This window comes from Homo sapiens, chromosome 11 (assembly GCF_000001405.40).
Source record: "Homo sapiens chromosome 11, GRCh38.p14 Primary Assembly".
Lineage (NCBI taxonomy): Eukaryota > Metazoa > Chordata > Mammalia > Primates > Hominidae > Homo > Homo sapiens.
In genome coordinates this window covers 115808448-115824678 of record NC_000011.10, presented here as the reverse complement: position 1 = coordinate 115824678, position 16231 = coordinate 115808448, and the positions used below count along the sequence as shown (strand labels likewise).

At 41.5% G+C, this 16231-nt stretch overlaps 1 long non-coding RNA gene across 1 annotated transcript in view, besides 1 other annotated feature; it reads right to left on the bottom strand.

The window, feature by feature from the left end:
- Window positions 1-16231, bottom strand: part of LINC02698 (long intergenic non-protein coding RNA 2698) — a 242222-nt gene that overhangs the window by 76896 nt on the left and 149095 nt on the right. The window lies entirely within an intron of this gene.
- Window positions 6090-6679: an enhancer, noted in NCBI's record as "OCT4-NANOG hESC enhancer chr11:115688718-115689307 (GRCh37/hg19 assembly coordinates)". NCBI's record gives its function as "activates a minimal SCP1, AML or CMV promoter by ChIP-STARR-seq in naive H9 embryonic stem cells {active_cell/tissue: H9 hESC(naive)}" and the evidence as "EXISTENCE:reporter gene assay evidence [ECO:0000049][PMID:30033119]".

Here is a 16231-nt window from a genome sequence, read left to right as displayed (position 1 = left end):
TAGAATTGAGATGAGAAATAAGCAAATCCACAAGCATAGTTGGAGATTTCAATGCCCTTCTCTTAATAATTGAAAAAAACAAATATTAATAACATAAAATTAGCAATGATACAGAAGACCTAAACAACAATATTAAAGAATTTGGCTTAACTGATATCTATAGAATATCCTACCAAACAACAGCAGAATATGCCTTATTTCCAGAGACATATAGAAAATTTATCAAAATAGATCATATTCTGGGCTATAAAATGAGTCCAAGAAAGTTAAAGGAATTCAAGTCATGAAGTATGTTTTCTAACCAAAATGGAAGTAAATTAAAAATCAATAATAGAAAAATATCTGGAAAATTCTCAATTAGGAAAGTAACGTACTTCTAAATATCTTATGAGTCAAAGGACAAACCAAAAGAGAAAGCCAACAGCATTTTGAACTAAATGAAAGTTAAAACACAACATATAAAAACGTGTGGGACAGAACTAAAGCAGTACTTAGCAGCAAATTTATGTCACTAAGTGCCTATTTTAGAAAAGAAGAAAGATCTCAAATCCATGACCTCATCTTCTACCTTAAGAAACTGGAAGAAAAAAGTAGAAAAAAAGGAAATAAAATCAAATGATAATAGTGGAAATAAATGTAATACAAAATAATTTTAAAAATCAAAATTAACAGCTTCTTTAATATGTGTGTATATATATGAATAATCTGTAATAATATTATTTCATAATATTAAAATTAATAAGGCCAACCTGATCAGATAAAAACAAAACAAAGCAAAACAGAAAACACAAGCTACCAATATTAGTCATTAAAAAGTGACATCACTACAGAGTTTGCAGATTTAGAAAGATAATAGAGGACAATTATAACTGTATGATAATAAATTTGATAACTTAGATAAAATGCAACAGTTCTTAACAGTCACAAACTACCAAAGTTTATTCAAGAAAAAATAAAATTAAGTTTATAAATAAAAGCCTTCCAACAAAGAAAACCCCAGGCCCAAATGGCTTCTTCTGTGGGTCCTGCTTAACACTAAAGAAGACATAAGACAAATTCTATTCAAACTTTTCCTGAAAATTGAAAAAGAAGGAATACTTCGCAACTCATTCTATGAATCCAACAGTACCATGATACCAAATCCAGACAAAAACATTACAAGAAAAGGAAACTACAGAATACCTGTCATAAACATAGATGCCATAATTTTAAGCAACATTTTAACACATAAAATAAACAATAATACATCCTGACTGAATAGAATTTGTTCCATAAAGGCAAGGTTGATCTAACATTTTTAAATGCATCAATACAATTTATCATATCAACAAGCCAAAACAGAAAAACTATAGAATTATCCCAATGGGTGCATAAAAATCATTTGACAAAAATTCAACATCTCTTTCTGATTTGTTTACAAAAACCTCTCAGCAAATTGATAATTAGAAGATACTTTCCTCAGATAAAGAGCATCAACAAAAAACCAGCAGAATAATGAAAAGGCTGAATTTTTCCCTCTAAAATCAGGAAAGAGACAAGAATGTTCATTCTACCACTTCTGTTCAATAGCATATTGAAATTTCCAGCCAGTGAAATAAGGCAAGAAAAGCAAATAAAAGGCATCCGGTTTGCGAAGGAAGAAGTAGAATTGTCTTTGTTCACATACAATATGATTATTTATGCAGAAAATTGGGTATAACATGTAAAACAAATTGTACAGGAACTAATAAGTGACTTTAGCAAGGCTGCAAGTTGCAAGTCTAATGTACAAAATTTAATTGTGTTTCTATATACTAACCATGAACAACCAGAAACTTATATACACACACACACTCTAAATGGCAAGAAATATGAAACACATAGGAATAAAACTGACAAAAGATATGCAAAACCTGCCACTGAAAAGTACAATGCATTGTCAAAATAAATTAAAGAAGACTTTAAATAAATGAAAAGATGTACCTTGTGCATCAGTTTAAGGGATCTATGCTGTTAAACTGTCAATTATCATCAGACAGATTCAACACAATCCCTATTTAAAATCTCAAAAGGTTTTTTTGTAGATATAGATGAGCTGATTGTAAATATCACATGGAAATGTAAAGAATGTAGAATAATCAAAATAAATTTTTAAAAGAGGAGCAAAGTTGGAAAGCTAATGATACCTGTTTCAAAACTCAATATAAAGCTACAGTAAACAAGATAGTGAGGTATTGGTATCAGGATAGATGAATAGATCAAATAGGTCAGTGGAACATAATAGAGTCTAAAAATCTCACACACAAAACTGATTTTTTTGACAAAGGTGCAAAGATGATTTGGTGGAGGAAGCATAGCCTTGTCAACAAATGATGCTGGAACAATTGGATATTCATACGCAAAAAAAAATGAATTTCAATCCATATGCAAAAAATAACTCAAAATGAAATTTAGAAGTAAATGTAAAACCTAAAATTCTACAAAAAAAGTAGAAAATTTACTTTTTTGGATGATATTGTTTTTATTCTTTTGGACTGGATCATGTTTATTAGCAATCATCTTTAATTTCCACCATCCTCCGTGTTCTTCCCTGTATCTCAAGAGCTGAAATTTCACTACACTTCTTAGGCTCCTTGACACCAGTTTTGAAATGCAATTTATGTTCTGCTGATGAAATATACTCATGTATGATTGGAAAGCAGGGAGGAGGAAACGACCCTTTTTTCTTTGACAGTGATGACAGCTGATGTGCGGGTTGTGGAAGACATGAATGTTTGCAGTAGTTGAACATAGGATTCCATTGCCAGTCACCAGCTTCAAGATGTGGAAAAGCTGTAATATCACCAAGTATTTTTTGCAATTGACTCTCCTCTGGGTAGCAATGGCAGCCTTTTGACTTCCGGATTGTGTTGTAGTGATGCAGCCAAAAGCCTAGAAGCAGCCCTCTAACTTTCGTACCTCCAGTTTCCCAATGATTTTACAAGCTTCTAATTCCCAACATTAAATTATTTTCTTCTTGAAGTACTTTGCCTCTATTTTTCTGCACTAATTTGTGACCAATACCATCTTAAAAATACAAAATGTATGCTTAAATTATCTAGCCAGATGTGAATACCTTTACCTTATCAGATAATATAAGGACCCTAGCTCCATTAATTATACTTTTAAATGTAAGCCACGGGGTCTTATTGTTATTTTTTGTATATTCAATGTTCATTTGGATTTACCCACTTATTTATAGCTGAAAGGTTGTCTTTCTCTTGATTACTTTTTGTATTTCAACCCTTCCATCTACAATCATTTTCTTTCTTCCTGAAATACGTCATTAAGAATTTCTTTTACTGAGGGTCTCTTGATGACAAACTCTGTTTTACTTATATTAAAAAGTCTTGGCAGGCATGGTGGCTCACATCTGTAATCCCAGCACTTTGGGAGACAGAGTTGGGTGGATCACGAGGTCAGGAGATCGAGACAATCCTGGCTAACATGGTGAAACCCCATCTCTACTAAAAATACAAAAAATTAACTGGGTATGGTGGTGGGAGCCTGTAGACCCAGCTACTAGGGAGGCTGAGGCAGGAGAATGGCATGAACCCAGGAGGCGGAGCTTGCAGTGAGCTGAGATTGAGCCACTGCACTCCAGTCTGGGGGACAGAGCAAGACTCTGTCTCAAAAAATAAATAAATAAATAAATAGTCTTTATTTTGTTCTCATTATTAAAAGATATATTTCGTGGGTATAGAATATTCATCAGCTATTAACTTTTGTCAATATCTTGAGGATCTTATTCCCTTGCCTTCTGACTTCCATTATTATTGTTGAGAAGTCAGCAATCAGTCTAACTCATTCATTTGAAGACAATCTGTTTGTCTCTTATAACTGCTATTAAGATTTCTTCTGGCTGGACGTGGTGGCTCATGTCTGTAATCCCAGCACTTTGAGAGGCTGAGGTGGGTGGATCACATGAGGTCAGGAGTTTGAGAGCAGCCTGGCCAACATGGTGAAAATCTGCTTCTACTAAAAATACAAAAATTAGCTGAGCGTGTTGGCACATGTTTGTAATTCCAGCTACTTGGGAGGCTGAGGTAGGAGAATCACTTGAACTCGGGAGGCAGAGGTTGCAGTGAGCCAAGATTGTGCCATTACACTTCAGCCTGGGCAACAAGAGTGAAATTCCATATTAAAAAAAAAACATTTCTTTGTTTAGGATATTCTCTGTTCTCACTATTATGTGTCAATGTTTTCTCTATCCTGATTGAGATTTTTAAGGCTTCTTGAATCTACAGTTTCATATCATTCATTGTTCCTGAAAAATTCTTACCCAAGATTTCTTCAAATATTGCTTTTGCCCTATCTCTCTCTCCTTTCCTGGGAATCTGATTAAATATATGCTAGCTCTTCTCACTATATCCAGCATACCACTTAACTCCTCATCTGCATTTTTCCACCTTTCTATCTCTTTATGGCACATGTAGACTAATTTTTTCTGGCATATCTTCCAGTTTACTAATTCTTTCCTTAGCTGTGTTTAATCTGCAGGTTAAATTAATCCTTTAGGTTTTTTTTTAATTTAGTAATTGGAGTTTTATTTTCAGAAGTTCTATTTTAAAAAACTCCACTGTGTCAATTTTTATAGTTTCCTGCTCATACGAGTATATTTACACTTTTAAAAATTTCAAACATGGTGTAATGAATGCTGTGCTGCACTGGACATTCCCCTTTCAGGAATAAGGGATTTATTTACTCAGCTGATGGAAATATTATAGTCTGACATTGTCCTTGGAACTAAAATCATTGGCCAATTTTGATTTCTGTTACCATATGTCCATGATGACCTCAAAACAAAAGTTCAAAATTCCCTAAATTGGCCAATGTTGTTAGGGCAAAAAAAAAAAAATGTCTTCTGGGTTGCCTTTACCTCTCATTTGTTTCCTTAAACAACTTTCCTCCTAATTCCATACTATCTTATTATCCATTTGATACTTTTAAAAGGACTTGTAGTTTTTTCTCAATGAGTAATTAGGTCCGAAGAACCCACATTTCATTGCATGAAATACACAAGAGTAGCAGAAAAAGACTCTGATGGCTAGAATCTAGCAGTGGCTACTGGTTTGCTTTGTTCAAAAAGACTGCAAGATTCCTTCTGGCTTAGAAGAAAAGAGTGCCCGAATGAATTAATGATGTCTGTCATGGTCACAAGAGGTGGTATGCCACAGGAGGGGCAATCCTGTGACCAAATCATTTGAAAATCTTTTCTCATTCTTTGGGGCCCTAAATTTATTAATATAAAGAGCAATTTATCCCCAAAACTTTAACCAGTCCACTCACTTTACAAACTGCTCACCCCGAGTTTAAGGCTCTCTATGCTCTTGTGTCAACCTCTGTTTCCAGACTGTTTCACCACTGCACCATATGTACTAAAATCCACAGCCAAGCAGACTCCGCCTTCCCCTAAACATCCTCCAACATTTCCATCTCCAGCAACTTGACTCAGGGTTTCACTGTTTGGAATACTTACTCTTCGTTTATACATTCAGAAATTCTAGACATTCTTCCAACCTAGCTCCAATGCCACCTACTCATAAGGCTTTCTTTGTCTCCCTGTTGGATTGCTCCTTCCCTTGGTCTCTCAGAGCATAATAAGACTTTCCAGCAAACTTTGCCTTTCTCTGTTTTTTTTTCCCATGGTATTCAGGCCTTAGTTTAATCTCTGGTCCTATCCCATTAGGTGGAAGAGGCTCAGGCAGGGACTGCCTGATCTTTGTAGTTAACATAGTTTGATACTCAATACATGTTCCCTTAGAAAAGAGAAATATCTGACGAATGGAAAAAGTCATATTCCTCAGTGTTATTTGTCCTTCAGACTTTGGCTGTAGGGGCTGCTCAGATTCCAATGGCTAACTGTACATCCTCTGAGCTGCAACCACCCTCTCCCTCCCCAGGGTCCTGGAACAACTGTTCGAAGGGCACCATACTGAAGCACAGAAGGTAGGACCAGGAGCTACACACCTGTTTTTTGGACGTTAGGACATGTAGGCAGGAGCAGGGCATGCCTGGGTTGCTGTTGCCCACCAGCAGCAGAGCTGGCCAGGCCAAGCATAGTTGAGCATTTAAAATACATTAAAGGCCTACTCCCTTTGAAGTTGGAAACTATATCTATTTAATCAGAGAGAAACAACTTTTCAAAAGATTTTTTCCCCTCTTTTTTACCTTCAGCTTGCTGGCTTCTCCTGTGGTTAGTAGCATGAATAAAACATGCATATCCCAATTAAATCTTGATTTAATTTCACTTCTTTGCAAAGCTGATGAACTCGAGTGCTTTCATAAAGACACTGAGCATTAGCATTCTTTTGTTATGCACAATCCATTCGGAGGAACAAGGGGCTAAAAATATTCAGCTGCCTCTCCCCTGGCCTTGCCAAGCTCTCCGTGAGTTAGGGAGAAAGGAAAACACATAGGCACACACACATTTCCAGCCAGGTTAATCCTCCCCGTGGACACCCCCTGGTAATTGTAGGGAATGAGAGCTCGTTTGACCATGAGTAACATCTTAGAGTTGGAAGGCAAACAGCATCTGTAAAAAGGACACTTTCTCAGGTGCTTCTTTGGTACTGTACCTGGAACAGTCAGTACCCATAGCAATTTAAGAGCCCTTCCCTTCCCCTGCTCCAGAGGAGGCACCAGCAGGAGGAAGAAGCTCTGGACCCAGCTGTGCATCCCAGAGGGCTGACTGAGCTTCTTGCCATTTGTTTCTAAATCTGAAAAGTACAAACTTCCCCTGAAGTTCACGATCATCACTTCAAAAAATAAATACTGTATTCATTGAAGACTGAAAAGAAGTACATGAATGTGTTTATCTGTGGTTATTCCTGGATGATGGGATTATGGATGATCTTTATGTCATGTCTGACATTTTGTGGCACTTTATGAACTCTCTTTAATAAGTGTAAAGAAATTCTACAATCCGAAACAGTTGTTTTAGAAAGATACATTTATTGACACACCCTACTATAGACAGGGGGAAAATTATCTAAGATATTTTCTTAATAACTTAAAAACTCCCTAACTTCAGAGAGTTTTGTTTTTTGTTTTTTTCTTTTTTTGATACAGATTCTCACTTTGTCTCCTAGGCTGGAGTGCAGTGGCGCCATTTCGGCTCACTGTAGCCTCCACCTCCCAGGTTCAAGGGATTCTTCCCCTGCTCCAGAGGAGGCACCAGCAGCAGGAAGAAGCTCTGGACCCAGCTGTGCATCCCAGAGGGCTGACTGAGCTTCTTGCCATTTGTTTCTAAATCTGAAAAATACAAACTTGCCTCAGCCCCACAAGTAGCTGGGACTACAGGTGTGCACCACCACGCCCAACTAATTTTTGTATCTTTTTTTTTTTTCATTAGAGACAGGGTTTCACTATGTTGGTGAGGCTGGTCTCAAACTCCTGACCTCAGGTGATCTGCCCACCTCAGCCTTCTAAAGTGCTGGGATTGCAGGGTGAGCCACCATGCCTGGCCCTTCAGAAAGTTTTTAATCTACATAGGATAACTAATAATAGATAGGGTAACTAATAATAAGGACTAAATATAGAGGTTCCAGTTCTAAGGTGCCCAGAGAAATAAATTTTCTGAAGGTAGTGGTGGATAAAGAAGACTTTCCTGAGGTGGTGAGACTACAAAAGCTTGGATATCAGAGTTTGAGGGATCTTAGGAGCCATTTAGACCAACTCCACATTTGGAGCTTGTATCTCATCTTCATCAGCCTCACAGCATGACACCCTGGTTGAACATAGCCAGTTTCTGACCAGAAACTTGATAATGTTTAAGTTAGTCTCTTCTATATTCGAGTTTTTCTCATACTTGGAGGTTCCTTCTATTTTTATTTTATTTATTTATTTTTAGAGACAGGGACTGGCTCTGTCTCCCAGGCTGGAGTACAGTGGGTGATCATAGCTCACTGCAGCCTCAACCTCCAGAGCTCAAGATATCCTCCTGCCTCAGCCTCCCAAGGAGCTGGAACTACAAGCCCACACCACCATGCCTGGGTAACTTTTTAAACATTTTTTGTAGAGATGCGGTCTCACAATGTTGCCCAGGCCTACTCAGAGGTTCTTTCTCACATTGATCTGAGCTCTGTTTCCCTGGAGGCTCTGGTTGGCCTCCTGGGGCCACATACACCAGGTCTGCTGCCTCTCCCACCGTGATGATCCTTCATATTTAAAGTCAGCTTTAACACCTTTTTTCTCTTTTGTCTTTTTACTGTGGTTTTTAAAGCATACCTCAAATGTCATAACTTCCAACTGACAAAGGCTCTGAGGATGGATAAAACTTACACAAAACGGAAGAAATGGAATGGGTATTCTCAATAGGGAAAATGGTATAAGCAAGACACAGAGTTTGACAGAGGCCATCTGTGTGGACTGGCCCATGAAGAAACCAGTCCAGCTGGGGCTGCACTGACCTGGGGACTGGTGGGAGATGCAGGTGGACAGGTAAGAGGGAGGCCACCTGGGGAAAGCCTTGATCTGCCAGCCGAGTCTGACTGTCCTCCACACCCCACATCCTCAAGAGTGTCTTTCACTCCAAGAGGAGCCTTGTCTGCGGTTCAAGAGGCCTCCTGGTAGCCAGATGCTACTGCTTCATGAGAGCCCAGGTCCTTGTGGACCCTGTGGGGGACAGCCAGGGGCACAATGAGAAGGGGCTTGGTGCTTAGTTACTGCAGGTCTTTCCCTCAGTTGCCACATTTGCCTATGATCTGACCAGTAGGTAATACACAGCCAGCCCATGAAGGAAGACTGTAGAGGTATGGTGGTAGGAGCAAGGTTCAGAGAGCTTGGCCCTGAGATACAAGTCGATTTCATGGTGTGTGCAGGGAGGATGCTGGGGAAGAAGAGGGGCTGTATGGAGCATTAAGCATCAGGGCAAGCAAGGGACGGAGAGCACAGGACAGGCCTGTAGGTGGTTATCCCTGTGAATTCTCCCCTCCTTCTCCCATGCCTCCAGTCTCCTGGCATTGTTGTCAATATCAACAGAACAGATTCAACAGCACCTGGACAGAGGCTGCATATACTCAGAATATGAAGATGAAATGGGAAGGATGGCATTTGTAGGCCCTACAGCTAGAGTACAAGGGAGACAACCAGACTGTGGCCCAGCCACCTTCTCTTCCCATACCTGGTTCTAACCTTCCTGACAAGAGGCCCTGTGTGCATGTGTGTGAATACCCCAGACCACATAGCTTGGTTCCATTCACTTTCTCTACCATCTAAATGTCACCCTTTGGGCCTAGGGATGGACACCAATAGACCCTTGAAACAGGACTATGCAGGCCTTCTGAGTGGGCTCAGAGCCATTTAAGGAGGAGACCTGGGGCAGGGCAAGGACCTAGAAATTGTTCTTATGAGAAGGGATATGAGATCCAAATGGTCATGTCCCATGGGCAGCCAAGATGTGGGGAGGGGTTGGACAGGAAACAGGCCTGTTCTAGTTCCTCCTAAGCAAGGAGACCAGAGCAAGGGCCCTGGAGGCACAGGGCTAAGGACAGGACTGATGACAAGTCTGGTGATCCTAAAATGACCAAGTGGAAGGAGCAAAGACTTCGGAACCACACAGGCCTGGGCTCAAATCCTAGCTTTAATGCTGACTTTCTCAGCCATTAACCTCCTTGAGCCTCCAGTTCCCCCTGAACAAATCTGAGACCAGCACACCTGCCTTGCAGGGCAGTTAATGAGATGGTATTGAAAAATGTATGCCATAGAGCCAGCTTCCAATAAACAACGGTTATTGTTGCTTTTAACATAAGGTCACTCGTCAAGCAAAAGCCAACTTGAGGCAGTGATAGGACAGGGTAACCCTGGGGAGAAAGAGAGACCATGTGGAGGGAGGAGGGGGAATCTAAGTTTCCGTTGGGGTGAAAAAGCCTCTTGGATGGCTTTGGTAAGTCTGAATCTGTCTAGTGCTGACCCTTGGGCCACAACTCATAGGCCTTTGAAACGGTTTTGTTTTATTTCATTTGAGCAGACTCCTGCCCACTATTCAGAGAAAATGTCTAATGCTGTTTTTTCAAATCTCCCAGACTGTCCACCACCTTCCACTTGGCACAAGTCTAGACCACACTGGAGCTTTCTCCCACACAGGCTTGTCAATTCGAGCCTCAGAATGGCTCACACCAATAAACAGGTCCCCAAGACCCAGGAGGCACACACTGCGGAGAAATTTACACACTCATAAAGAGAACACGCCTGCTAATATGTTTACAGGTTGGGGGTCTTTCTCCTGAATGCAGACAAGATATTGCTGCTGTAAAAGAGGAAATTGTTCAGGCTGATCTTCCAAGCACAGACCAAGGAGGAATCCCCAAGTCTTGGCTGACACAGCTCATAAATCTCCTGAGTTTCTGTTTGTCCCAACTTCCATCATTTCAAGCAACATGTGGGACTGTCACATTTTAAGAAAATAAATCAAATGAAATTATAGATTTGCCTTTGTGATCCTGATGTGCAGATTACATGTTATTACATTATAGATCTCACACCCCTTAATGCATTTGCACTATGGTATGATTATTGGATTTTGATGTATTGCCAACATCAAACCCAAATAAATATTTTTCTTCACTAAGTGCTGCTGGGAAGGAAGGCAGTTCTCAAACATAAAGCCTATTTAGGTGGTTTAGTAAGAAATGAAAGGAGACCAATGTGAAAAAGAATAAACATGTTGACACTGGTCTTCCATGGCAGTTCTTATACAGCTAGGTCCCCAAGCCCTGAGAAAATAGAAACAGAAATGGCAATGAAGCCTGGAGCCTGCTCTCATTCTCAATATGATTCATGTGTTAATTCAACAGATGTTTATTCAACAACGACTAATATGGCTTGGCTCTGTGACCCCACCCAAATCTCACCTTGAATTGCAATAATCCCCAAGTGTCAAGGGTGGGACCAGGTGGAGGCAACTGGATCATGGGAGCACTTTCCCCCATGCTGTTCTTATGATAGTGAGTGAGTTCTCAAGAGATCTGATGGTTTTATAAGCATCTGGCATTTCTCCCACTGGCATTCATTCTCTCTCCTGCTGCCCTGTGAAGAGGAGCCTTCAGCCATGATTTTAAGTTTCCTGATGCCTCCCCAGCTATGCAGAACTGTAAGTTAATTCAACCTCTTTTCTTTCTAAATTATCCAGTCATGGGTATTTCTTCATAGCAGCGTCAGAATGGACTAATACACATACTATGTGCCAGGCACTGTTCTGGGCATCGGGGTGAGACGATGAAGACAACATACGAAAACCTGTGCCCTAAGAGAGCTTGCCGTCTAGTAGAGGGAAAAAGAAAATCAATAAACAAGTGAAATAAATAGCATATCAATGCATGGTAAGTGCTTTAGAGAGAAATTAATTAAGTCAGCAGGGTAGGGGGGATGTTTGGTACCAATTTTAAATGAGTGGTCAGAAATGGTCTTACGGTGAGAGTGACAGTTGACAAAGGCCCAGTAGGAAGGGAGGCAGCAAAATCCAGAACTGTCTGGGGGAAGTCCATTAAAGCAAATGGAAAAGCACGTGCAATGGCCCTGAGGCAGTGGTGGTCCTGGGATTTCAGGAAGCAGCAAAAGGTTGGAGCTGAGTGAGGACAAGGAAGCAAGGGACAGTAAAGTGGAGTGTGGCGGCCAAATTGGAAGGGCCTTGCAGGCCACTGCAGTGACTTTGGATTACTCTAGGTCTGCTGTACAGTAATGGGCAAAACAAATATTGTCCCTGCTTTTTCAGTTTATGTTATGATTGAGAATATAGCGACATAAGTAACCAATTATGTACAGAGGAATAAGAGTTCACTCTGTGGTGGGTATCTGAGAGGAGTCATGTGTGAGTCAACTAGAAGCTTCCCCCAGCCCACTTCTGCCATCTTCACTCTAGAGTGCTTACACCTGAGGGGTTTTGGTCATCTGAGAACAGTGCTCAAAAAAGGGTCTGCAGGGGACAGCATGGAAGGAATGCGTCCCTTCAAAGATGGGCAAGATGAAAAGAAAAGAGAGGGAAAACTTCTCCAGCAGAGAACCTGTTGACTGTGTTTCACCCCTAGTTTCTACTGGAAATGCCAACTAGAAAGGCAAGAAAATGGAATGGAGGAAGGGGTCAAAGTGGAAGAAGGCAAACACTACAGTAGCATGTGGTGGGGTGAAGTGAGGCCTTTCTTGGAGAAACATACACATCAACACTAGCAAAAGAAGATCCATGGTACCTGTGGGTCAAAGCACTGTGGGTCAGACCATGGAGTTACGCTCCAGAACTCTACTCATAGGGGAAGCAGAATGGCCCAGAGCAGGATAGACACAGGCAAGATCGAGGTGCCAGGCAGCCTGTGTGTAAATGCCAGCTGTGTAGGGTGTTATCTGAGAGTGCCAACTGTTAGCATCTGCACACCTTGTGAAAAGGTAGATTCAGGCTGCTGAGAGAGGGAATTTCATTCCCGTGGGAAGTTGAGTTAATGCCTAGGTCCTCCTGTTAGAAAAAGGGAGCTCTTGCTCCTAGTCCATCCATTGCCAGGCAATCTGAGCTTTAGGAGACCATCATCACTAATATCCTTGGACAATTTGCCTTTTTTCTCCTGTTGGGGTAAAGACAGCTCCTGATCAAGATTACTAGGTCAGCCATAGTAGAAAGACTAGCGATCCCAGAGTCATAGAAAGGTATAGACAACCTCATGGTAGAAGATACTTTGGGAAACTCTGTTGGTTATTTTTGTTTTCTGTTTTGTTTTGTTTTGAGACAGGGTGTCACTCTGTCACCCAGGCTGGAGTGCAGTGGCATGATCACAGCTCACTGCAGCCTTGACCTTCCAAGCCCAATCCATCCTTCCACCTCAGCCTCCTGAGTAGCTGATACTACAGGTGCGTGCCACCACGTCTAATTTTTTAAGTTTTGTAGAGACTGGGTCTCCATATGTTGCCCAGACTGGTCTTGAACTCCTGACCTCAAGCAATCCTCCTGCCTTGGCCTCCCAAAGTTCTGGGATTAAAGGCGTGAGTCACCATGCCTGTCTGAAACCTCTTGTGTAGTAGAGAAAAATGCAGTGGCCTGAGAGTCACTGGTTTTAGCTCAGAACAAGTTTTGGGACCTTGAGAAAAATCATTTCACTATCTGGCCATCAATCTCCTTGCCTTGAAAACAAGGCTTTTCAAGCTCTGCTCCTAGAAATCCAAAGGATCCGTTAGACGTGTCCAAGGACCACTGTGATGGAAGTGGGGGCTTCCAGGGTGCCATCTGAAGAAACACTGGCGACAACACGTTCTTTCTTCCACAGCAGCTTTATATTTTGGGCTTCTGTGGAAGTTTTCATTTGAAGGGAGAGTTATACTAGGTCCTTAAGAAATTAGCATGAAAACTACTGAGCTAAATAGCTCTGCTCTGACCTTTTTCTACCTAATCAGTCCTACTGTATCAATGCCTAATCTACTCCATCCCTTTGCTGAGTGTCCTAAAGAAAGCAATTTCTTCATTCTACTATGTCATTAATTTCCTTGTTTTTCTGTCTAGTCTATAGTCTCACTTAAGCCTCTCAGGCTATAAAAGATGCTAGAATTTGCTGCAAAACAGCCATCCTTTCTGTCTACTCCCTCCCTTCCATCATCATTCGCTAGCTTTGACTCATCCTCCAACCCTCAGGAGAAAAGTCTTTTCTTTCAAGGAAGCCTTCCAGGTGCTCCCTCCACTCTCTCATTGACCCCTAGCCAGGGACTCGTAATATGCACTAAAATCATCTTTTTCCTTGCATCTCCCTTACTAGACTATGACAATTTGGAGAGAAAGAAGTAAATTTGTCTTATTATCACTGCCTGCCAAGGCCTAGCCCAGTAATCACCCTGGCCATTTGCTATGATGGCTGCTGTTTGCTAAATACTGACCGCTGCTGGGCACTGGGTGTGGCATGTCACACACATTGCTTCACTTTATTTTCACATCAATCTTTGAGGGCAGGTGTCACTTTATACATAAAGAGGCTGGCTTCAGGATGCTTTAGTGGACTACTCAAGGGCACAGGTGAATAATTACTATCATCTCCATGTTGGCTTTTAAAAGGTCCTCAAGAGTGTGATTTCATTATCTCTGCATCCTCCCATTCTCCAAGGTGAGAAAATCAGGCCCACAGTGGTCCCTGCTTAGGTGAGAGCAGAGGGTAAAGGCTGATCTCCTTATGCTGATGTATGGCTGTGGATGGGATTTTAGTCTGTCAGTTCATGGTTCTCTGGAGTATAAAAGAGTAGAATAGAGAAATCCTTATGGAATTCAAAATGCACATATGAAACACATGAAATAGCCATGAAGACACTTCTGGAACAATATATCAACAATTGCCCATGAGCTCCCAGCAGAATGCACAAGCACCTGATATAATACATATACCTCAGGCGGGGTAAGCCAACTAAATATTTTTAAATCCCTTTTAATAAAAGAGTCACTGAGGAATGCTTCAATTAAATAAACACTCCCTGAGGCTCCATGATGCGCACGGCGCTTTGCTCTACATTACAGGGTACAAAAGAGACCAGGGCTACAGTCACCCCCAACTCCACATGAAGACCTCCAGCTCTGCATCAATTTGCTAAATTGAAATTATGCCTTTTTGTGCCTCTTTTCCCCACGGAGTGCTTCTTTCTTAGGGCGGGGCTCATGTCTTACATACCTCAGTATTCCCTGGACCTACAGCACGTGCCCTGTAGAAAGCATGTGGCTGAATCAGATCTCGGCCCCCAAGTAGCTAGTAAAAATAATCAAAATATAGATCAAGTTTATGCAGGAAAGAAAGTGATGGATTTTCCAGAGAGCTAGAGAGTTCTCTGGAAGCCCAGGTGAAGAGTAAGTTGGTCCTGGCAGGGACAATGTCAGTAATAGAGAGAGGAGACAATAGGCTGTCACTGTCTAACAGAGCAAATGGTAGAAGCAGGGGTGAGGCAGAGAGAAAGCTGGAGACTCAATGAGAGGAGGAGGCTGAGGACAGGCTGGAGGGCCCAGAAGCCTGGCTGCATCAGCAGCTTTCTGCTGCATCCTGCACTTCCAGGCTCTCAGCTGCCTCAGGGTCATTACACGTGCTATTCCATCTGCTTAAATACCCTTCCCCCAGATAGCTCCAGGTTTTGCTGCCTCCCCTCCTACTGGGCTTTTATCAGATGTCACTGTCATCCTAAGACTGTTTCTGATCACCCATTTAAAATTGAGTCAGGAGGGAGCACGGCATGTGGAGCCTGGTGCTTTAGGGAGGTCACACTGACAAACAGCGGGGAGACGGGGCACAAGGCAAAGAGACTGAGTAGGGACACTGGTTGGTAACAGCGTACCGGAGGAACAAAGTTGGGGAGAAATGTAGAAGTGACTGGAGAAGTGGAATCATGGTCAAATCAACAGGACTTGACAATTGACTGAGTGGGCAAAGAAGGAAGAAAAGGAGTGGGGAGAGAAAACAATGCTCAAAGGTTTAGTTCTGCCCACTAATTGGGAAAATTGTGATGCTGGCTGCAAAAGTAAAAAAAAAAAAAAGGCAGTCTAAGCCGACTAATGAAATCATCTTTGCAAAAATTATAACAGTGAGGAAGTTATGACAGTGAAAAGGATCTGACCTAACTGACTCCATCTTGTTTCTAACCTCCAAGCTGCCCGTTTATTCCTGGGGACAGCTCGAACTAACTTTGGGAGGAACTTAGTTTATAGTTTAACTTTGAAACAAAGATGATAACAGCCCTTTCCCAAAACAAATTCCCTTCTTGCCTGGGGACCAGACTGCCTCTGTAGGACTAACACATTAGTTATAAGATTTGCAACTTCCCCATCTACTCCTGCAGATAACATCACTATTGTAGGATCTAAGATTGACCTTTCGAGATGTCTTTCCAGATTTTTGCATTTCTGACTACTGATGGCTCCACCTGAACTCATGAACTGGTCCTGTGGCTCCCACCCAGGAACCAACTCAGTGCAAGAGGATGGCTTCGACTCTATGATTTCATCTATCACCCAACCAATCAGAACTCCCCACTCCTTGGCCTCCTACCCACCAAACTATCCTTGAAAAGCCCTAGTCTCTGAACTTTTGAGGGGACCAATTTGAGTAATAATAAAGCTCCAGGCTCCCATTCAGCTGGCTTGGCATGAATTAATCTCTTTCTCTATTGCAATCCCCCTGTCTTGATGAATTGGCTGTATCTGGGCAGTGGGCAAAATGAATCCACTGGGTGGTTACACTAAGGTGGACAAATGACAAATTTGGTTTTAGGT